The sequence below is a fragment of the Homo sapiens genome, chromosome 9, assembly GCF_000001405.40.
Source record: "Homo sapiens chromosome 9, GRCh38.p14 Primary Assembly".
NCBI classification, from domain to species: Eukaryota; Metazoa; Chordata; class Mammalia; order Primates; family Hominidae; genus Homo; species Homo sapiens.
The window spans coordinates 9797745-9821911 of NC_000009.12; the positions used below are offsets into that span (position 1 = coordinate 9797745).

At 35.1% G+C, this 24167-nt stretch overlaps 1 protein-coding gene and 1 long non-coding RNA gene across 39 annotated transcripts in view; one reads left to right on the forward strand and one right to left on the reverse strand.

The window, feature by feature from the left end:
• The window catches only part of PTPRD (protein tyrosine phosphatase receptor type D), a 2298757-nt gene that overhangs the window by 1483499 nt on the left and 791091 nt on the right, over positions 1-24167 (reverse strand). The gene's annotated exons all lie outside the window — the stretch shown is intronic.
• On the forward strand, positions 1648-6047 carry LOC105375972 (uncharacterized). The gene is made up of 3 exons (NR_135135.1): positions 1648-1864; positions 2802-2930; positions 5973-6047. It is a non-coding gene; the product is annotated as an uncharacterized LOC105375972 (long non-coding RNA).

The following is a 24167-nucleotide window of genomic DNA, read 5'->3' on the forward strand; positions in this document are numbered from 1 at the left end:
GGCTGAGGCAGGAGATTCACTTGACCCCAGGCTGTGGAGGTTGTAGTAAGCTGAGATCGCGCCATCGCACACCAGCCTGGCGGACAACAGCGAGACTTAATCTCAAAAAAATAAAAAATAAAAAAAATCATCCTCTGTCATAAAATTGGGAAGGAAGTAGTAATAAAGTTAGAAAATGATGGATTTGAGGTGAAATAAAAGTAAGTTAAAGAGTTAATGTCTGAATACACGAATGTTCTTGATCATATTAGAGATACATATTTCAGCAAAATTTGAAAAAGTCAAAAGACGATTGGAACCTCACAGAATAGCCACCAGGGAGAGAGGACAAGGAAGGGAAATAAAACAAAAGAATTTACCAAGTGATATTGGGGGCCCAAGCAGTGTCTGATAATCATAAATTTTAATAAATTAATAAATACTATGTTATTTTCTTCGATAACATTGTAGGGGAGGAAACCTTTATTCATTCCTCACTAGATTTATGGCTGAGACATATGTAATAAAAGAGGTCAACAAGGGAAAATCATATTTATTTAATATGAGTTTTACCTGACACAGACACCTTCAGAAATGAAGACTCAAAGAAATAGAGAAACCTGTGTATTTTTACGCTACATTTGATGAAGTAAATAGTTGTGAAGTATGATTGGACAAAAAGGATAAGATCTAATGGGAATAAATTGGGGGGAATTTATCAAGGGTTGTTTGTTCAGTTTCCTCTGTGTCCTTGTGTCTTCAGACATAAGGACGTTCCTTTCTTCCAAGGATAGGGAAGGGACTTCTCAGACAAGAATCTTATGACCCATTTCATGGGAGAAGGTCAGAGAATGACCTTTCTGCTTCTGCTATTTTTCTCAAATGTTAAGATGCCATATTTTGGGGTATCATGTTCTGAATTCCATCAGCATGCAGCAGCCTAGAAGTAGAAATGCAGTAAGAAATGGTTTGGAATAAGCCATATGTAGAGAAGAGAACAAGAAGGAAATAAAGTAGTTGCTGAGAGCGCAGGTAAAATGACTGATTTATGAAGCAGACACAGCAAATTGGAAGCAAAATCAGGTAGAGGTCTTAGATATGGAGATATAATCAGAGATTAGAAAATATCACCCAAATTACCAAAGCATAGTGGGTGTGAATCTCTAATCCTGAGACATAATGGAGGTAAAATGTTTTGGTTTTTCTTTTAATGTTTTTAAAAATGCTTTGTTCTCAAAAATATTTTGAAAGTTGGGACATTTTTCACATTAGATCCCCATCTTACTTATTAACGTAACATCAGAACATTATTCCTGTTATTATTACGGGAATGACTGCAGAATCAAAACTTATATATCTTATCTACACATTTTAAAATTCATTTGACCAGAAGGTTCCCTCCAATTTATATATTTTAAAAATAAATGCAATTAACTTCCATATAGCAAATAAATGAGATAGGTTTGTAGTCAGGTTGAAGAGCACATTAAATGCTAATAGATTAGGTTGAGATAATATGTTTTGGAAGGAGAGTTAAACTTAAAAATTAAAGATCTTACAGAGAGAGCAATTATAGAATGTAGCTCTTTAAATGAGTTAATCAATAGAATAGAATCAAAGACCACTGGAATTTGAAAGTCTTCAGAGTTCAGAATGGAACATTCAGAGGATACTAAAGTTATCCACAATGTTTTGAAGCCCTAAGGGTAGAAAGGGACTCTAAAGGCCAGGCCAAATACTTCTAAAAATGAAAGTAACCACTTGCAAATCAGTAAGCCTTGCTTTTGAAAGAATGATACACTGTGTTTCCTTGGGGGCAGATAAGGAAGAGTCATAACCTAAGTGTTGTCAGTTCAATATTCCATAAACACTAATGAGAACCAAGGTAAAGCATACATTTGCTAATGCTAAAATTCACAAGAGACCGAACTGTCTCTTTACAAACAATAAAAAGGGGGGTAAGCATTAGAGGAAGGTTAGGCTTCAATAAAAGTTGGAAATAAAATGATGTCCCAATGAATATAAATAAAGGGTTAAAAGTAACAAAAGAGTTTGAGGCCTTAACAAAAGGACAAAGCAAGGAAGATAAAATAGTCATCTAAAGGGAATCTAGACTGAGAGAGACTAGGTGGAGAGCTTTCTTTTTGAACTCTGATTAATCACGAAGACAAAAGAAAAAGACTTAGAAACACAGAGAAAAAGGACAAGGATTAAACCTGCTTCAAAGTACAAAAAGAAATTCCTTTCAGTCTCCAAATTTTCATTCTCAACTATTCCTACAGGTGGATGAGCCACTTGACATTCTTGTCAAAAGAAAAAATAATAATAAAATATTGAATTCCCGAAGAGATTTCTGTCAAAATAAGTAAAATAAAGTTTCCAAAGTGAAATACATTTTGGAAGTCCTGCATACCACACTCTTTTGGGATTATCTTAATGCCCATTTGTTTTATAAAATGTTTGATTAGCCAGGCGGGGTGGTGCACTTGCAGTACCAGCTACTCCAGAGACTGAGGCGGAAGGATGGCTTGAGTCAAGGAATTCCAGCCTACAGTGAGCTATGATTGAGTCACTGTGCTCCATCCTGGGGACAGAGCAAGATCTTGTCTCTAAAAAAATAAAATATTTAAGATATTCCCCAGTTTTGCAAAAATCTGTATTTAATATTTCATAAATGTATATGAACTCAGCCATTTGGAAAGAAAAGGGACTAGTGTGATCCTGAATCACAGGATCCCTGGAGAAAAAGGGTAAAAGCAAACGGCCAATTGATTAAATGATTTTAAAAGATCCTTTAATGATTTATAACTAATGAATTATAGGTCTGTAAAGAGAGAACGGATTATTTGAAATTTAATAGATGAACAAAGGAAGGATCATTGTCTATAGACCATGAGGTCTTGGAAGACAGAAACCACTTGTTTGATACTTTGTAGCTCTGTCAGCACATGGTAAGTACCTGATAAATGTATTTTGACTGATTGAATGATATGTCATTAATATTAGGTATTTAATTATATTTGCCCAATTTATCCAATGTTGAAAGGTGTTCAAGGGTCAATAAAGGAGCTCATCCACATCTCTAGCTGATAGCAGTACCTATAATAAGCAATTTAAAGCTTGTAAAACAACAGCCACTCAAAATTTAATAAACATTTCTTAAGGGATATGCAACAGAAGCATTTACATCTCTGAAGGAGATACACGATTAGTTGAGCTTTTTGACAACTGTCCAAGCACTAATCTCCTTGTTCTATACTAAGAGTTTAGAATGTATTTAAATAAGAAAGATATTATAAATAGCTACTCAACTGTTATTTATTATTTATTTATTTGCATTTGAGAAGGAAAAAAGAATCAGACACTTATTTAAAAGTCATCTTATATCAAAAGTAAATATTAGGCACTTCCATCATGTAACAACTTTGATTTTAGAGGTCTTTTTAGTGACAAATATAAAAGCAATTTTTAAATCATTAGTACCCGGTATACATTCATAGAAAGGAAAATGCTTTCATGCATATAAGTCCTCTCTTGACAAAGTAAAGCTACTAGCTTTAAGCTGACCCACTTTTCTCTATGCTGTATCAGGTATAAGCAAGCTAAAGAGGATTAAAAAAAAAAAAGTAACTTTCAGTATAAAACAGGAATGGAAATGCTCTGCACCTAAACTCCAATGGGATTTTCCTTTTGTCAAAGGCTGCCCTTCTATAACCTGTTCTGAGTTTATAAAGCAAACAAATCTCACTGAGGCTCTTATTACACCTCTTTAGTTGTTAATTTTAAATAATCTGTACAAAGGCAAGTTTACCAAGGTATATAAAGGGAGCATATTTCTGTGGCCACTGGAGAGTAAGTGAACAAAACTTTTGTTGGACTAAGAAAAGTAGTTTTACCTGCAATTCTGAAAATTCATTTTATTAACTGATTGGTCAATAATTGTTTTGAGTTTATAGGGTAATAATTTCACTGTTGGAAATTATTGGAGGACACATTTCAGCTAACTATTAAAGGTTAAATTCACCAAACAGGAGGATACTAATTAACTGCCTCTTAAGAAATTGACAAGGCCACTGCAAGTTCTTTTATCCGTTGTCTATAAATCAGAAGGATGCCCTTTAAGGCATTTCCATCAGGATACATGTTGGCACAAAACTCAGGCAAGCAGTGCTTACAATCAGAATACTATAATGATAACAAATAAAGGTTATTGTTCTGTTTATACAAGAATGGAGTCAGCTTGGATAATTTTCAAAATTCAAGGATATATGGCAAGTTGGTGAGTATTGAGAAAAAAATAGTCTGTTTCATCTTATGCATTTCAAATTGAATGTGTTTAGCACCAATTGCTTAATTGCGACTCAAGTTGCTTAAGGTTTATTAGAATATTGTGTTTCATCTCCTTGAATTGGTGCAGACACAGTCTGGTCCAGGTGTGAGGTCCAATATGATAATTTAAACTCAGTTTAAAATTGCTTTTACTTTACTCCTGAAATGCAAATGTAATGGAAGTGTTTGAGATCAAGATTCCTATGGGTTGATAGGAATCCTGTTGTTTCCCTCGTTTTTCATCCAAATATGTCCATATTTTGTATTCTTAGCAATTGTATAAACTAAGATGTCCTTAGGTCAAAAGGGCACATAATTATAGCTTGCTCCCTGCCTCCTTAGAATTTGAAGTTAATGCACTACCTTATATTAGGCCATAATTTGCTCCTAAATTAGCCACAGAACTCAAACTTAAACTCCAGGTTCAAAATATGAAATATCTTGTTGTTCTAACATTTGGATAATCTCCACTTTATACATCTCTGGCTCTATAGACTAGGGAACTCTTATAAATGTATGTTTGGAAACTTTTTGTGGGAAAGCTTAGCCATATAGTAACTCATATCACACAAAGCCCAGGATGCTAGGAACGTTTTTTTTTAAAAAAAATTCAACTCTCCATACCCAGTATCCAGAATAGGACCTAGCTTATAGTTGGAGCTCAATAAATGCTTGTTGAATGAATACACCTATCAGTTTTTTCTCCATATATTATCTGAGGACTTCTAACACATGCTGGCAACCTCCCCCTCCCTCAGAAAAAAATTCTAATGAAACAAACTTACAATTGTTTATTCATTCTCTCTTTCTCACACACATTTTCTTTTGCATTACACTAATAATGCATATAATTTGAGCTATTTTAAGAGTACCAAATACTATACTAATTATATTAATTTTAAGCATGGTAAATTTACTATTACTGAACTACAAGGAATTTACTTGGAAAACCTAGTTCCACAAAATATTTTAATCTGATCCAGCAAAACCTAAGACATATTTTGCAGCATATGCATATCGGTTTATTGTAAATTTAAAAATCTATAATTAGGTAAATATATTGCCAGACATGTAAGCATTACGCAAATAGAAAAAGATACGCTAAATCACTGAAAATTGTGGTGGTCTAATATTGGAGTAATCTGGGGAAAATACTAATGTTACTTTCACCTTCACTGAACTGGACGTTTTGATAAAAAAGAAAAAAAAAAAAAGCAAGTCAGTAAACCGCTCAGTGATAATCCTCATTGGTAGTAAAAAATGTCAAACTCTTATGAGAAACACAAAATTTTTAAGTCACTCTCAATATAGCTGCAGAATTGAAGAAACTATTTTTTCATTAGATTGCTTCAGTATCTACAATTCAGAAATAATTATTTATTTTCTTAAATTAATGGGATATCACCTCCAACAATAGTTTTTCTGCATTTTCTCATTTTAAATACATCAGTGATATTTCAACTTATCATGATGAGCATCCCAAATAGATAAAACTTCATGGCCAGCAGAGTTAGTACTGTTTTAATAAGGCATCTGACAAATAAATATAATTGTAACTGGTGCCTTCTTGATGTCTAGGATCTCTGCCTGGTATACCAATGATGTCTGTGAGGAGAAAACAAAATTTTTAATTTATAAATGCATTTTTTTCTCTTTTCTTTCAGGAAAGAAACTGGTTTTCCTGTAAAACTAATACATGTGATTATTAAAGGTAAAAACATAACAAATCAAATAAAAAAGGATTAATCATTTAAAGAGAAGCTCATATGTTAATGAGCTTGGAGTAGTGTAATGAAATATCAGAAAGATCCTGACATAGTAGTTTTACAATACACAAGAGCATACAAGAGATCTAGATTTTGTTTAGTGTTTCACTATCTCACTAGAAGTTTATGGGTGCCTATCTTAACTGAGTTCTCTTACTGGAGCAATGGAACAAGAATTATGCCCACATTGCTTCATTCCAATGTTAAAATCTACATTATCAGAAATGTAGTGTGTGAGTTATTTTTTTTCTTTTAATACACAAAGATTATCTGATGGCTGTTTTTGATCAGCTTCTAACCTCAAGAAAAACTATTTTTCACTGGAATCAACTACTGCTATGTATACCCAGTCTCATCCCTCTACATTTCCTTCAGTCACATAGGGCTCTTTTAGCTGAAAGAAGCTTTGATTCTGAAGTAAGACAAGATAATTATATAATCATGCAATATTTCATAAAATAGCAGTACACTGCACTGAATTTCCCATCCCTAAAGCCCGCTTGGAAATGGCTGGAAATATGGATCCAGCCACTGAATCACACATTAATGTATCAGCACACAGGAAACTAATAAAAAAAGTTTAAATGGGTAAATTGAATGTCTACTAAAATTGTGAATTTATGAATGTGTTCTAAAATTTCTATGAACAAAAAATTTTATATGGCTTTTAACAACATTATAAATTTTCAACCAGAAAGGAACTTTTTATCTTTCCTTAACTCTTTTGAGGAAGACTCTCAGATTTTATTTCAACCAGTTCTTGGCACCTAGTAGGTGTTGAATAAATTTTTACTGAATTCATACATAAAATTTTAAATTATTTGTGGGGAGAAAGCATATTATGAAACTCATGAACATAAAGGCATTTAATCTAAACAAGACTTTGAGCTAATAAAAAGCTTACTTCTTTAGCATACCATGCACTTGGTAGAGATATGAGGTGTGCTTTTTATATATAAAATGTTTGATTATAATCAGATGATTCAAAATATAATTTTTATAATATTATGTTAAATTTCATCCACATTTTACATAAGCAATTGAAATATTTACTTGATAGAAGAAATTCCTTGTTAAGTATTATAATTTTATATGATTGTTCTAAAGGTGAAAATGTGATCATGCATAAAATATATTTAAAATTTACTGATAGTAACACCTTACATTTGTAAAATATTGTACAGATTATATAGTGCAATTATGTAATATCTAAATTGATCCTCATAGGGACTTTGAAGTTAAGTGTAAACACTCTCTTTTAATTAGAAAAAATAAATACCATAGTAGCTTGGATTCTGGGGCCAGGCTTTGGGTTTTGGGGCCAGGCTTACCCAAATTCTGCCATTTACTGTGTGGCCTCAAGCAAATGTCTCAATAACCCCCAAATGAATGATGTTAACAACCTCACAATGACCTAGTAGTATGAGAAGAAGTAATATATAAAGTGCTTTGCCTAGTGCCCTTTGTTTGGTAAATGTACAATAATGATTTCATTATTAGCATCAGTCTTTATAGTGATATTGTTATTAATGAGAGATTGGGCTGTCAATTAAGTGACCGGTTAGGAAGCAACAGTATTAGAAAAGAGGAAGAGTTCAAACGCAAGGTGATTTGACTTCACAGGTTTATTCCTAGATCAACTCTGTACCAGCTCAGTTAAGTGGAAAACAGATCCAATGTAAATATTTGCTATCTGAAGGAACCCTTTCAGATTAGTTTTACAAAATAAAAAAGTAAATTTGAATATTTAAAGCTTTTCTTTTATTATAACTCAGGGTTTATACATACTGAGATTTCTTAAAGTACACTTTTATGCCTTTATTATTGGTGCTAGAAAAGCTATTCTTCAGTGAAAGCTAGATCCTAACTTTTTCAGCTTAAAAAGCAATTTGGTTGAAATGGTACCTAATTACTCTATTCTCAAAGGAAGAATGACCTTTCAAACGTTTGTTTATCAGCGTCTTGCTTAAGAACATTAATGTTCCTCTTGAACTCAGAAAAATACTCCTATTGAGTGAGAAATAGAGCTTAGAAACAACATTAACAGACTTCTGTAAGAAGAACAGAAAGAAGAAAAGGCACAAAGTAGAAAAGAAGTACAAAAAAACATAAAGTGAACCAAATTAATATATTCACTCAACAAATAGCTTACACAGAGGTAGCTTTTAGAGGGAATGGTGATCCTAACCCTCAAGTGGTTTACCATGCAAAAGCCATTACATATAAAGGATTACTAAAGAAAATAGTAACAGGAGATGAAGTAAATTTACAGAGGCATAAGAATTATAAGATGCACGGGTCTTATTTAAAGGTTGCTGGTGTTAGAGTAGGTAGGCAGCCATGAGCAAGGCAAGAGAGCTCCAATTCACCCCCAGGAATGTCAGGCAACCATCAGAAGATGGTCAGGCCGTTATCACACTGTCTCTCTAAAATAATAGTTGGTTGTAGACAGTGCCAAAAAAAAAGGCAGTCTCCCGATACATAGAAAACACGTGAAGCTGGTGGTGATTTTAAGGTCCTCTGAGCTGGCCGCACCATCGTCAAGCCATTATGACATTCCCCCGCCTTTCTGATAATGTACTTTGTGATATTCCCATCCTTGTGAATGTATTTTGTAACATTCCTCCCCGCTCTTGTGACAATACACCCTCCCCGCCCTTGTGAATGTACTTTGTAACATTCTCCCAGCCCTTGAGAATGTACTTTGTAACATCCATCCCCTGCCCGCAAAAAATTGCTCCTGACTCCACCGCCTATGCCAAACCTGTAAGAACCAATGATAATCCCACCACCCTTTACTGACTCCTTTCTCAGACTCAGCCCACTTGCGCCCAAGTGAATAAAGAGCCTTGCTGCTCACACTAAGCCTGCTCAGGCGGTCTCTTATACAGACATGCCTAACAGTGATCAGCAGCTTCCCAAAAAGATCTCAGGAGTTGAGCGAGTGGGCTCAAGCATGCACACTAAGAGGCAAAATGGCGGGGTTTGACTGGTATCTGACCTACCTCTAGGAACACTGAACAGGTAAGAGAAAAACAGCTCTTGTGAGCATGCATGTAACTTCAGTAAACACACTGCACTTGTGGCCCCTCCCAAGTGCTGGCAGGCCACTGAGTATGTGAACAGCCCACTCCAAAGGAAGAACCTGGGGAAAAGAAATGCAAACCTCAGAACAAAGACAATATGTAAAAACCCCAAGACAAGAGTCAGATGGAATACTCGGATCTCTCAAGTCACCTACTTGGCCCTCTTCCAAGTATATTTCTTTTTGTTTCTGCTCTAAAATCTTTTAATAAACTTTCACTCCCGCTGCAAAACTTGCCTCAGTCTCTATCTTATGCCCCTCAGCAGAATTATTTCCATTGAGGAGGCAAGAATTGAGTTGCTACAGGAGTTACTAAAGATTTTGAGCAAGCAGGTAACAATCTGAGTGGTGTGGTGGAAGATACCCTACAAATGTGCTTAATTACCAAATACACATTTTCTATTCCCTGTCCTCTTCTTGTTAACACATGCAAGCACACTTCACATACTTATGTGAAGATAAGTATTGAAAATCCTGATTTCACGAAACAGGTGGGCATGAGTTCAGTTATGGTTATCAAACAAGATGCGATGTTGGCTAGGAAGCTTGTGGGAAGATTTCAGAGAAAAGGCAATAGTAGTGTGAAGAGATAGATTCCCTCTGCTCTGACTTCTCCCCTTGTTAAGCATTTTCCCATATGCCCCAAGAATACTCTCCACTGATGCTTGCAGCTACAGCATTTACCCTGAGATAACTTTGTGAAAATATCTTGCTTTTATTATTATTTACACATTGCTCTAGCATATTCACTTCGGAAACAAAAGACATCATTCTATTTACAGCATTCTATTTCTACTAGTGGTATTTTCATTTACAAAAATATAGTGATTCTTGATCGCTGAAAATTTCAAATCCTGGAAAACATAGGATTTCTACTCATGATGCTAACATCATTAGGGAACTGCTATTGGCTGAAGATTCATTGGAAGAATCCGATTTTTCCAAAACAGATGATTCTGATGACTCATATAATTCTGATGTTTGTTCTGATTAGAAATAACCCTAAGAGCAGTTTTTATATTGTATTTTCATATTGAAAGTCAGATTTGCTTCTACCTCAAAGAATGTTTATGTAAAAATTAAATGAGTGCTGATGGTGAGCTGTCCCCTTTTGTTTTTCTAAATGAGAAAGGAGTGAAACCAAAATAGGCAACTATCCAGCTTGAGAATATATGAATATATGAGATTATGAATCCTTGTTTAAGCCACACTTAATCAGGTTCTCTAATCCTTATGTTTGAAATTGTGTGTAACTGTTGCATACTTCATAACTATTATGTTTTATAGGTTATTGGGGCACAGAGAACGATTCTCCAAAGTATAGAGCTTTGGTCTGATGAGCATTTCGAATTAAATTAAATTGGAAGTCCCTACATCTTCCTCAGATACAAGAACTTTTTAATCTCTTGTTCTTCTTGCCCACCTCCACCTGAAGCCCTGAAAGGAACTTTGGAATTTCCTTATCTGACCAGGAAACTCCTTTCCATAGAAATGAAATTGTCTTAAAACCCCCTTTCTAGGAACCTAATCAATTGACCAGAAAAGATTAACCACTAGAGAAAAGAAAAGACAAAATATCACCACCGTACCCGGATAGGCTTTGTATCTATTTTTCTGAGGGCAGCACAGAGAGAGACTGCCTGGGAGACTTTATCTATATAATAAGACCATCGTTGTTTACAGTGCAGTTTTGCCCCTCATTTTCCTTTAACTTGCTTATCCCATTCAGTTTTTTAAATAAAATCGTTTAAAAGATAATGTCTGCCTCCTGGTTCCATTTATTTCCTCTAAAAATTATTTACTATCCACTCTAAAATTGCCTAGAGACCCAACTTTCATCTCCCTTATGACTGGGGTATTAGTTTAATTTTTACTTAATTAATTTAGATACTGGGTCTTGCTTTGTTTTACAGGCTAGAACGCAGTGGCTCAATCATAGCTCACTGAAACCTCAAACTCCTGGGCTCAAGCTATCTTCCCACCTTACCTCCTGAGCATCTAAGCCTAATGGTACATGCCACAATGCCTGGCTAATTTTTATTTTGTATTTTTTTTTTTTTTTTGTAGAAACAAGATCTCACTATGTTGCCCAGGCTAGTCTCAAATTTTTAGCCTCAACTGGCCCTCCCACCTTAGTCTCACAGAGACCTAGGATTACAGGCAGAAGCCTCCGTGCCTAGCCTGAAGAGGGCATTTAATCCCCAACTATGTGGCCCTTCTTTTGGGTCTCATATTTGTGGGTCTCCCATGTCAATGTGCATGTTAATAGGTTTGTAGGCCTTTTTTTCTGTCTATTCTGTCTATTGTCAGTTCATTTCAGCAGTGAACCTTCAGCAGATAAAGGGCCTTAGCCACAAGAGATTTTTTTTTTTTTTTTTTTTTCAGACGCAGTCTCACTCTGTCTCCCAAACTGGAGTGCAGTGGCCTGATCTCGGCTCACTGCAAGTTCCACCTCTTGGGTTCACACCATTCTCCCACCTCAGCCTCCCAAGTAGCTGGGACTACAGGTGCCCACCACCACGCCTGGCTAATTTTTTGTATTTTTAGTAGAGACGGGGTTTCACCATTCACAGGATGGTCTCTATCTCCTGACCTCGTTATCCGCCTGCCTCGGCCTCCCAAAGTGCTGGGATTACAGGCGTGAGCCACTGCTCCCAGCAGGATCAAGTGATTTTACAATGATTTATGCAGAGTAAATAAATAAAAGTTTGAATGAATCTTGTCAGTTGTTCATGAGAGGGGTAATGGAATTAGGAGTGAGAATGTAACATCAGTTGAATTTTTCAAATAATTGGCTAAACACTAGAAGAGAAGGAAAAGGGAAATATGAAGCTAACACTGACATTCAGAATGTGTCTGACCAAGACAGGTGACATTCCATGATCAGGGACAGGAAATCAGAAGGGAAAATGGTGACTTTGATACTGGATATAAATTTGAGGTTGGAGCAAAACATTCAGGAGGTTGGAAATTATCAAATACATATCAAGTGGCAGTTAACAATAGAAGCATTTATGTAAATTCAATAACAGAGTTGAAGTACACTTGGCCCACATGGGTTTGAACTGTGTGAGTTCACATATATGTGGATTTTTTCCAATAAAAGTTATACCAAGTGTGCCTGCCTCTCCTGCCTACCCTTCCACCTCCCCTTCCTCCTGCACCTCCTCTTCAGGCTACTCAGTGTAAAGATGAAGATGAAGAACCCTATCATGATCTACTTCCAGGTTAAAAAAAAAAAAAAAAGCAAATATATTTTTTCTTCCACACGATAGTTTTAAGAAGCATTTTATTTTGTTTAGGTTACTTTATTGTAAGAATATATACTACATAGACTATACAAAATATGTGTTAATCAACTGCTTGTGTTATTGATAAGGCTTTCAGTCAATGTAGACAAAATAGCCTTCTATTGAAAAAGGATGCCATCTAGCACTCTGATGGCAAAAAAGGAGACGTCAATACCTGGCTTCAAAGCTTCAAAGGACTGGTTTACTCTCTTGTTAAGGGCTAATGCAGCTGGTGACCATAGGTTGAATCCAATGCTGATTTACCATACTGAAAATCCTAGGGCCCTTAATAATTATGTTAAATCTACTCTGTCGGTGCTCTAGAAATAAAACAACAAAGACTGGATGACAGCAAAACTTTACCACATGGTTGATGGAATATTTTAAGTTACTTGTTGAAACCTATTGCTCAGAAGAAAAAAAAAAAAAGATTTCGTTTAAAATACTATTGCTCATTGACAATGCACATAGTAACCTAAAGAGCTCTCTGATGAAGGTATAAAGGATATCAATGTTTTTATGCCTGCTAACACAATATCCATACTGCAACCCATGAATCAAGTAGTAATTTTGACTCTCAGGTCTTATTGTTAAACAAATACATCTTTTAAAGCTGTAGCTGCCATAGATAGTGACTCTTCTGATGGATCTGGGCAAAGTAAATCAAACACCATCTGGAAAGGATTCAGCATTCTAGATGCCAGTAAGAACATTTGTGATTCATGGGAGGAAGTCAAAATAGCAACATTAAAAGCAGTTCGCGGCCAGGTGCACTCGCTCACGTCTGTAATCCCAACACTTTGGGAGGCCTAGACGGGAGAATCACTTGAGGTCAGGAGTTTGAGACCAGCTTGAACAACATGGTGAAACTCCATCTGTACTAAAAATACAAAAATTAGCTGGGCATGGTGGTGCACACCTATAATTCCAGCTACTCAGGAGGCTGAGGCAAGAGAGCCGAGATTGTGACATAGTACCTCAGCCTGCGCAACAAGAATGAACTCTGTCTCAAAATAAATCAATAAAAGCAGTTAGCAAGAGATTGAGTCTAACCTTCATGGATGGCTTTGAAGGGTTCAGGAACGCAGTGAAAGAAGAAACTACAGATGTGGTAGAAATGCAAGAGAACTAGAACTACAAGTGGAGCCTGAAGATGGGACAGCATTGCCAAAATCTCATGATGAAACTTTAACAAATGAGAAGTTGCTTCTTAAGGATGAGCAAAGAAAGTGGGCCAGGCGCGGTGGCTCAGGCCTGTAATCCCAGCACTTTGGGAGGCCGAGGTGGGCGGATCATGAGGTCAGGAGATCGAGACCATCCTGGCTGACACGGTGAAGCCCCATCTCTACTAAAAATATAAAAAATTAGCCAGGTGTGGTGGCAGGCGCCTGTAGTCCCAGCTACTCAGAAGGCTGAGGCAGAAGAACGGTGTGAACACAGGAGGTGGAGTTTGCAGTGAGCTGAGACCAGGCCACTGCACTCCAGCCTGGGTGACAGAGCGAGACTCCATCTCAAAAACAAAACAAAAAATGGTTTATTGCAGTGGAACCTACTCCTGATGAAGATGCTGTGGATATTGTTGAAATGACAACAAAATATTAGAACATTACATAAACCTAGTTAATAAAGCAGTGATAGAGTTTGAGGGGATTGACTCTAATTGTGAAAGAAGTCCTATTGTGGATAAAATTCTATCAAACAACATTGTATGCTACATAGAAATCTTTCAGGACAGGAAGAGTCAATCAACGTGGCAAACTTTACTGTTATCTTAAAAAAATGCACCAGCTACTTCCACCTTCAGCAATTACCACCCTGATCAGTTAGCAGCCATCAACATTGAGGCAAGACGCTTCATAAGCAAAAAGATTACAACTCACTGAAGGCTCATATAATTGTTAGCAGTTTTTAGCAACAAGTTAATTTTTAATGAAGGTATATGCATTTTTTTTTAGACATATGCTATTTCACACTTCATAGACCACAGTATAGTATAAACGTAACTTTTATATTTATGGGAAACCAAAAATTTTGTATCACTCACTTCATAGTGATGTTTGCTTTATGGTGATATACTGGAACTGAACCTGTAATACCTCAAAGGTATGCCTGTAATAAGTCCTTGCCAATCAATAATTGCTTTAATTGTAAACAGATGAAATTATCCAATCAAGAAATACAAAGTGACTTAGTGGATTTGAAAAAAAAAAAGTTGCAGCAATATGCTCCCTGTGAGAGACTAACTTTAGCTTTAAGGTCACACATAGGCTAAAAGCGAAGGGACAGAAAAAGATATTCCATGGAAATGGTAACCAAAAGGAAGCAGTAGTACTTATATGAGACAAAATAGACTTTCAGTCAAAATCTGTCACAAAAAAAGTCACTATATAATGATAAAGGAATCAATTCATCAAAAGGATGTAACAATTGTAAATATACATGTACTCTATATTGGAGCACCTAAATATGTAAAGAAAATATAAACAGGACTGAAAGGAAAAATAGTAAGGGATTTCAATAATGGATATATCATCCAGACAGAAAATCAATAAGGAAACAGCAGACTTGACTAACACTATATCAAATGGACCTTGGAGACATATGCAGAAAATGCCATTTAAGAAAAGCAGAAGACACATTCTTCTCAAGTGTACGCAGAATATTCTCCAGGGTATATTGTGTTAGACTGTAAATCTGAGCAAATTTAAGAGGACTGAAATTATATCAAATATCTTAAAAGATACTTGTTATCATATTTGGTAAGATTGGTATCAATCCAGTGGTAAGAAACTAGAAGTCTATAAGAGGAGAAAATAGGAAAATTCACAAATATGTGGAAAGTAAACAACACACTCTTAATGCAATCAATGGGCCAAAGAAGAAATCAAAAAGTATAAGGAGACAAATGAAAAAGAAAAAGACAACATGCAAAAATGTATAAGACGCAGTACAAGAAGTCCTAAGAGGGAAGTTCATAGTGACAAATGCTTACATTTATTAATAATAAAGATCTCAAATAAGCAACCTAATTTTACATCTGAAGAAACTAGAAAAAGAACAAACTAAATAAACCCAGAATTAGCAGAAAGAAAATAATGAAGATTAGAGCATAAATGAAATGGATACTAGAAAGACAATTAAAATGATCAACAAAACTGAGAGTTTCTAAAGAAAAACAAAATTGATAAACCTTTAGCAAAAATAGAACAAAAGACAGAGCTCAATAAATTAGAAATGAAAGAGAAGATCTAAGAACTTATGCCATAGTAATACAAAAGATTATAGCAGGTTATTAACAATACACCAATAAATTGGATAGCCTAGAAGAAATTAATAAATTCCAAGTAGCATATAGCCTACTAGAACTGAGTAATGAAGAAATAGAAAATATAAATAGACTAATAATGATCATGCAAAGGTTTGAAGCACTTATGAAAATCTCCCAAAAAGAAAAGTCTGGGGCAAAACGTCCTCACGAATGAATTCAACCAAATATTTAAGTGATTAAAAGCAGTCCTTTTCAAACTTTTCTAAAAATTTGAAAAGGGAATACTTCTAAACTCATTTTAAAAGGTCAGAATTACCCTCATACCAAACCCAGATAAAGATGCGAAAAGAAAATTATAGACCAACATTTCTGATGCACATAGATGTAAAAATCCTCAACAAAATATTAGCAAATTTAATTCATCATCACTTTAAAAGGATCATTCACAATGATCAATTGGGATTTATCCCTTGCAAATGGGTCATTCACCATAATCAAGTGGGATTTATCTCTGGGCTGAAAGATGGTTCAACATATGCAAGTCAATAAGTTTTGTACACTACACTAACAGAATGAAGGATAAATATCACATGATCTCAATAGATGCAGAAAATGAATTTGATAAAATTTATTATCTTTCCATGATAAAACTCTGAAGAATTTAGGTGTAGAAGACATGTAAATCAACATAATAAAAGCCACATGTGACAAGCCAAAAGTAAACATTAGACTCAATGATGAAAAGTTGAAAGGTTTTCTTTTAAGATCGGGACCAAGACAAATGTGTCTCTCTTACCACTTCTATTCGATGTAATAACGTCCTAACCTGAGCAATTAGGTAAGAAAGAAAAAAAAAAAAGCATCCAAATCAGAAAGGAGGAAGCCAAAGTATTTGTTTGAAAATGACTTCATTTTATATAGATAAAACCCTCAACCCCCCACTATAAAACCGTTAGAATAAATGATTTCAGTAAAGTTTTGTGATACAAAATCAACATAAAAAATCGTGTTGCATTTTTATACACTAACAATTAACTATCTGAGAACAAAATTAAGAAAACAATCCCATTTGCAATAACTTCAGAAAGGATAAAATACTTATGAATAAATTTAACCAAGGAGGTAGAAGATCTGTACAATGAAAACTGTCAAACAGTGGTGAAATAAATTGAAGAAGACACAAGTAAATAAAATGTTCAAATGTCCATACTACCTCAAACAATCTACAGGTTCCACGCAATCCCTACCAAATTCCAATAGCATTTTTCACAGAAATAAAAAATACAATTCTAAAATGTATATGAAACCATGAACGCTCCAAATACCAAAGTGACTTTTTTTTTTTTTTTTTTTTTCGATACAGAATTTCACTCTGTCACATGGGCTGGAGTACAGTGGCACGATCACGGTTCACTGCAGCCTCAACCTCCTGGGCTCAAGCGATCCTTTCACCTCAGCCTCTTGAGTAGCTGGGACTACAGGTGCACGCCACCACACCTGACTAATTTTTATATGGTCTCAAACTCCTGGGCTCAAGTGCTTCACCCACCTCAGCCTCCCAAAGTGTTCGTAAAGCCTCCCAAACTACAAGTAATTTTGAGTAAAAACAACAAAGCTTGATGCACTACATTTCCTGAATTCAAACTATATTACAAAGCTATAGTAATAAAAAATATGATATTGGCATAAAAACAGACACATAGACTAATGGATCAGAATAGAGAGCCCATACTCATGCGTACATACATTGTCCACATATAAGGTCGGCTAATCTTTGATGAGAGTGCCAAGGATTCACAATGGAGAAAGGACAGTATCTTCAATAAATGGTGCCTGGAAAACTGGATATTCACAGACAAAGGAATGAAACTGGACACTTAACTTACATAGTACACAAACATTAAATCAAAATAGATTAAATACTTAAATATGAGAACTAAAGCTATAAAACTAAAAGGAAACGTAGAGAAAAGTCTCCTTGAAATTGATCTGGGAAATGATTTTTTTAGATGACACCGAAAGCAAAGTCAACAAAAGCAAAAATAAACCAGTGGTCTATATCAAAGTAAAAATCTTCTACACAGCAAAGGAAACAATAAACAAAATGTAAAGAAATCCTACAGACTGGGAAAATGCAATCCTTATATGCTTCCATTATGCTAAGTGAAATAAGCCAGATACAGCAAGATACATATAGTGATGTATGATATCACTTATATGTGGAATCTAAAAAGTCGAACTCTGAAAAGCAGAGAGTAGAATGGTTGATTTTAGCGGATGGAAGGAGGTAGGGGATGGGGCATGAGAGTATGTTGGTCAAAGAGTCCAGACTTATAAGACGAATAAGTTCTGGGGATTTAATGTATGACATGGTGACTGTAGTTAGTAACACTGTATTTTTTACTTAAGATTTTCTAAGAAAGATGCTAAGTCCAAGATACTAAGTGTTCTCACCACACATACACAAATGGTAGCTATGTGAGGTGAACTTTTTTAAGTGAAAGTGTGGAGATTTATTGCAAAGCGAAAGTACACACTGAAGAAAGGGACATGCAGGTGTACTCAAGAGTCACTGCAAGGAATGTTTCAATAAGCATGGTTGTGGTCATCATTTTACAATATATTCACCTATCATATCACCATATACTACACCTTAAATTATATGTAATTTTTATTTAATTTATTCTTCAATAAAGCTGGAAAACAAAATATTTGTTTTCTTGGCTAGTCTGAAAGAAGCAGACAATTTTCATGTTTAAAGTTCTAACATGTTTTATGCTAAACAAATTTTTTCCGTTAAAGAAATATAAATCAATATATTCAAACCTAGAAAACTACTTATAATAAAGACCTATAATGTATATTGCCACATTAAAACAAACAAAAATCATCTTTTATTGGAAAGATCAACCACATTATCGATTTAATAAATAGCCTTATGTTCCACACAAATAAGCTATCTAATGCATCATAATTGCTAAAGTGCTTTGGTACATTTACATAAATCTCACTATTTGAACAATATAATTTGAATAATATATTTGAATATTTGAATAATATAGTTGAATATATATTTGAACAATATATTTGAATAATATATTGAACAATATAATACTTTCCTGTTAACATATTTAAAGTAATATTTTCCCCTCAAATGCCTTATGAGCTTAAAAAAGATGGAAAAAGGGAAGACCTTTTGCGTATTCTGAAGCCTATAAACACGTAGCTTAAACTTTTCTGGGATGCCTTACCCCAAAATATCACTGTGGCTAAACCACTATCATCAATAAAAGTCATGCATAAGGTGCATTCCTTTAGTAATAGATAGTGAACTGGAAAAAAAATCCTTCAATAGTAAGAGCTGGATCTCTCTTATCCTATGCATGAAATGTTAATCACCATTACACTAAGGTGAGAACAAAAATCACAAGATACTAATAATAATAAAGAAAAAAAAGTTTGTTTTTTCTTAGTGGAACAATTAATAGAAAATAAGGATTCTTTAACTGAAGATTATTATTTTATATACGTAACTACAGCATTAGAAAACATAATCAGGAAGCTGTAAATAAGTAAATTACCAGCTGTCAAAAAAATTATCACTATCAAATTAAATGAGCTTCCCCTAGGCAAGCTAAGATTGCTTTTGCCTGAAGGCTGGCTCAAAAATGAATCATGAGGGAGACAAGTCATATAAATAAAACAAATTTTAAATTAATCATGACTGTGTAGACTAACTTGAAAAATAAATCTTAAAACTCATTGCTAAATCTTTTAACAACTAACTACAACGATTAGGGACTACTGTAAACCAGACTAAATATGCCTCAATGAACTCTGATTTGTTTTTAGATTAACATACTTATATAATATTAACTTAGATAGTATACATGTCATTCCTGTAGGTCAGAGTAAGGGATGACTTTCAACACGAAAAGTGGAAGTAAGTTGGTTATTTATAGATATTTAATAAACTACAAGTTAACTATTTATTTCCACTTTGACTAACTACTCAAAAATTGCTTCAAATATGTCTTTAGAGGCCAAATCTAAAAGAAATATATTTCTTCTCATCCTGTCAAGTTTACTTTTGTCCTGTATTTACACAGATAGGTCCATAAAAAACTGAATGTAAAATACTGATGACAGTTAATTTTGTTTCTTTCATCTTATTTACATTATTTTTGTCCACCCATTGTCCACAGGGAATAAAACAAACGGGCTAAGGGGTTAGGGGTCTTCTGTGATGATTACAGAGAGAAAAACAAAGAGGATAACTGTCCTGATACAAGGGTGCCTTGAAAGCACATCAGATGCTTTAGCAGTGTCAAAAAGTCACAGGCTTTTAAAAGTGTTAAAGAAATTTAAAATTAGCCCCTTGTGTCTCACGGAAACCAGAAGAGCTGTGCCTGCCATTGTGGAGCTAGTTAGCAAGATCAATGTACAGGATACTCCACCATTTTAAGGACTCCTATGAGGCATTTTAGGTATAGAGTCAAAATGTTGATCTCCTGAGGGACTTTCTTCAATCCAATTCCAAGGGCTGATCTTGGGGAAAGAAGTTAATATGTTGTATGTAACTTTGGTTCTCTCACAGTGGCTTATGTTTGGATATGATACTTATTTAGCTGATAATCCATCTAAATGCCCTCTGAGTATCACTGACATGGAGAATGACAAGGATTTAGAAATAATATGTATTTTTAATGGGACCCACACCAACAAGAAGTGTCAGACCTAAAGAAATCGGTCTTTAAATGGTGAAATCTCCAAAATTGCAGTAATGTACGCTGTTCTATATCCCCTAGACAATATTACATAGCTGCCAATGTGTAAAATCAAACTTTTTAAAGCCTGGTGAGGGAGGTAAGCCTTTTTATCAGCTGAGCATTTCAGCCTTGTGTTTCTTCTGCTCATTAACCAAGCTGGTGTGACAAGTAAGGGAATACAACTCCTAGATGCTATGTTTCCTCTTAATTACAGAGGTTCCAGAAACATTATTTAGTTTATGAGTAATGTTGATGTTACTAGGAGAAATAATATATAAGTAGAAATGTAGGTAGGGAAGGACAGAGAGAGATAGAAAGAGGCAGACGATTTAGGAAAACTACATTGTGATTGTGATTGCCATTAGACCAATACTAACAAACATTATTATTCCAGTAAAGAAAATGGGTCGGGCGTGGTGGCTCATGCCTGTAATCCCAGCACTTTGGGAGGCCGAGATGGGTGGACCACGAGGTCAGGAGTTCGAAGTCACCCTGGCTGACATGGTGAAATCCAGTCTCTACTAAAAATACAAAAAGTAGCTGGGTGTAGTGGTGTGCGCCTGTAATCCCAGCTACTCGGGAGGCTGAGGCTGGAAAATTGCTTGAAACTGGGAGGTAGAGGTTTCAGTGAGCCAAGATTGTGGCACTGCACTCCAGCCTGGGCAACAGAGCAAGACACTGTCTCAAAAAAAAAAAAAAAAAAAAAAAGTTCGTATGTATGTCTTTCAATTATTTTATTGTAATAGCTGACAAAGATTTATCATTTTCTCATTTAAATGTAAAGCACTTCACCAACATGTTTTACTTGATCCTGAGATACTGTCGAAATGTTCCCTGATAGGTAGCATATATTTGAATAATGCAGTCCCACATCATGATCTACTGAGCTTGCTGGGGCTTTGGAAGGCTGGAGGCAGAGATTGGTAAGGAACACTGACTTCAGCCTCTCCCTGCCCCTCATAACTTCTCTCCAATGTGAGGAAGTGTCTTCATTGATGTTGAGTTTGGCTGGAGTATCGGCAGAAATTACAGGTCTCTATAACGATTTATTACAGGTCTCTATAACTATTTATTTTTAAAGGCTTTTACAGTATAAATTCCTCCAGAATGAGATGAAGCCCCAAATGAACTTTGGCGGAGGTTTAATAAGAATTGCACTTTGCAGATTTGATATGATTCACCTTTGGTTTAAGGACATAAGCCTAATGATAATTAATTTCTACTGCATATATTGCTGTAATACATAACTTACTTCTGTGAAGTTTTTATTGAAATAACTTTTTTCAGCTTTTATTTTAGCTTCATAGGGTACATGTGCAGGTTTGTTACCTGTGTACGTTGTGTGATGCTGAGGATTGGGGTACGAATGATCCTATCACCCAGGTACTGAGCATAGTCCCCAACGGTTAGTTTTTCATCCCTTGTCCCCCTCCCTCTTTCCCTCTTCTAGTAGTCCCCAGATTCTATTGTTGCCATTTTCATGTCCATGAGCATCCGACACTTAGCTCCCACTTATGAGTGAGAACATGTTCCTGCACCAATTTGCTTAGGATAATGGCCTCCAGCACAGCCATGTTGCTGCAAAGGACACAATTTTTTTTTCTTTTATGGCTATGCAGTATTCATGGTATATATGTACCACATTTTCTTTGTTCAGTCCATTGTTGATGGACACATAGATTGATTCCATATCTTTGCTATTGTGAATAGCACTGCAATGAAAATGCGAGTACGTGTCTTTTTGGTAGAACAGTTTGCTTTGGATATATACCAAGTAACAGGATTGCTGGGTTGTATGATAGTCCTGTTCTATGTTCTTTGAGAAGTCTCCAAATTGCTTTCCGCAGTGGCTGAAGTAATTTATATTCTTACCAACAGTGTATAAGCATTCCCTTGAAACCACACCTTGCTACCATTTGTTGTTTTTTGACTTCTTAGTAATAACCATTCTGATTGGTGCATACGGTATCTCATTATGGTTTTCATTTGCAGTTCTCTGATGATCAGTAAGGTTGAGCATTTTTTTCAGATGTTTGTTTACCGCTCATATGTCTTCTTTTAAAAAGTGTCTGTTCTTATATTTTGCCCATTTTTAAAATGGGGCTGTTTTTGGTTGTTCAATTGTTTCAGTTCCTTGTAGATTGTGAATATTAGGCCTTTGTTGGATGCATGGGTTGTAAACATTTTCTCTCATTTTGTATGTTGTCTGTTTACTCTGTTGCTAGTACATTTGTTATGCAGAAGCTCTTTAGTTTAATTAGGTTCCACTTGTCAATTTTTGTTGTTGTTGCAATTGCTTTTGAGGGCTTAGTCATAAATTCTTTCCCAAGGCCCCTGTACAGAATGGCATTTCCTAGGTTTTCTTCTAGGATTCTTGTGGTTTGAGGTCTTACATTTAAATCTTTAATCCATCTTGAGTTAATTTTACATATGGCAAAAGGTAGGAGTCCAGTTTCATTCTTCTACATGTGGCTAACCAGTATCCCAGTACTATTTATTAAATAGGCAGTCCCTTCCCCATTGCTTATTTTTGTCAGCTTCATTGTATATCAGATGGCCTGTAGGTGTGTGGCTTTATTTCTGGGTTCTCTATTCTGTTCCATTGATTTATGTGTCTGTTTTTGTACCAGTACCATGCTGTTTTGGCTACTATGGACTTGCAGCATAGTTTGAAACTGGGTAATGTAATGCCTCTGTCCTTGTTCTTTTTGTTCAGGATTGCTTTGGCTATTTTTTGGTTCCATATGAATTTTAGAATAGTTTTCTTTTTTCTAGTTCCATGAAACATGTTGGTAGTTTGATAGGAATAGCACTGAATCTGTATATTGCTTCGGGCAGTATGTCCATTTTAATGACATTGATTATTTCAATCCATGAGCATAAATTTTTTCCCATTTGTGTCATCTATGTTTTCTGTTAAGTATTTTTGTGTGTATACGTGGCTACTATAAATGGTGTTGCATTCTTGATTTGGCTCTCAACTTGAAGGTTATTAGTGTGTAAAAATGCTACCAATTTTTGTAACATTGATTTTGTACCCTGAAACTTTACTGAAGTCAGTATTTTGAGACATTTAACCACTGAAATGTCAAATGTAATTGAATTTTATGGCTTCTTGGGGTATGTGGTAGGGTGGAAGGGATTGTACACACATTTGTGTGTGGCTTTCCCTCTAGTCAACTTTTAGCCTACCTGGACCAATACATCCATTATGTTTGGAAAGCTTTCAAAACTTACCTGAATATTCCCTAGATATGTAGTTATATAAAGACTGTCATGTTTTGTATAGAGAATCAGAGAGGCTGAAGAGAAAATATATAAGATATAGATAAATATCATAATGATTATTGCATAGGCTATTCTCTCTTCTTGTAATGTGTTTTCTTCCTATGCATAAAAATACTGATATTGTTGCCACACGTATTTTTAAGCATTTGTATCTATTATTAAATGTAGCATTATCAATAGCCCTCTGAAATAGGTTACTATTATTATTCAAATTTTACTGAAGACTTTGAGAGATAACTACATTGGCCAATACCACATAGATAATAAGCAGTAAAGCAAGGATTTGAATTTAAATATGCTTACAACTTTTCACTTAAAACTTCCAAAAATAAAGGACATGCATGTGCATGCCTGTATATGTATGTGTGCATGACTGAATACTTTCCTTGATTT